At 55.0% G+C, this 826-nt stretch overlaps 1 annotated feature.

The window, feature by feature from the left end:
- Positions 201–826: an enhancer, noted in NCBI's record as "H3K4me1 hESC enhancer chr20:55533349-55533974 (GRCh37/hg19 assembly coordinates)". NCBI's record gives its function as "activates a minimal SCP1, AML or CMV promoter by ChIP-STARR-seq in primed H9 embryonic stem cells {active_cell/tissue: H9 hESC(primed)}" and the evidence as "EXISTENCE:reporter gene assay evidence [ECO:0000049][PMID:30033119]".

The following is an 826-nucleotide window of genomic DNA, read 5'->3' on the forward strand; positions in this document are numbered from 1 at the left end:
CAGCTCTGCTCTCTGTCTCCGTTTTGCATTGATTAGAAGGTTTTCGGTCTCCCAGGACAACGCTCTGTTAGAAAACGCCTTTGCAGCTACTGGGGTTCCCGGACCGAGGTGAAAACGGGGGCCTTGAGCCGGGAAAAATGCGGTCGAGGGTCTCTTGATATGTGGGGCTTCAGGACGCGAGCTGAGAGCCCTGCCGTGAAGAGCCAGCAGCCCTCTGCCCGCTGGCCGCTGCATTTATGCTCCATTAAGCCCACGCAGGCCCGAGGGGTAGATGGCGGCAAAGCAGAGAAAGACAGGCCAAGGCTGCTTTCACCCGGGCCAGTGCCAGTGTAGATGCGGGCAAATGCAAGGCCACCACTCACCTGTTGGGGCCCTACAGCTGCCCGCTGGACCCCAGAATGTGCCTGCACAAACTCCACTCCCGAAATCATCACAGGCCCTCCTTGAACCCGAGCCAGCCGAGGGCCTGGAGAACATTCCGGACAGAAATCAAAATGAATTTCAGGTGCTGGGTGCGGTGACTCATGCCTGTAATCCCAGTACGTTGGGAGACTGAGGCAGGTGGATCACTTGAGGTAAGGAGTTCGAAACCAGCCTGGCCAATATGGTGAAATGCTGTCTCTACTAAAAATATAAAAAGTAGCCAGGTGTGGGGGTGCGCACCTGTAATCCCAGCTACTGGGGAGGCTGAGGCAGAATTGCTTGAACCTAGGAGGAGGAGGTTGCAGTGAGCTGAGATCACACTACTGCACTCCAGCCTGAGCAACAGACCGAAATTCTGTCTAAAAAAAAAAAAAAGTGACAATCAGGGTCCCCTGTCAACAAC

Source organism: Homo sapiens, chromosome 20, assembly GCF_000001405.40.
Source record: "Homo sapiens chromosome 20, GRCh38.p14 Primary Assembly".
In the NCBI taxonomy this organism is placed as follows: Eukaryota; Metazoa; Chordata; class Mammalia; order Primates; family Hominidae; genus Homo; species Homo sapiens.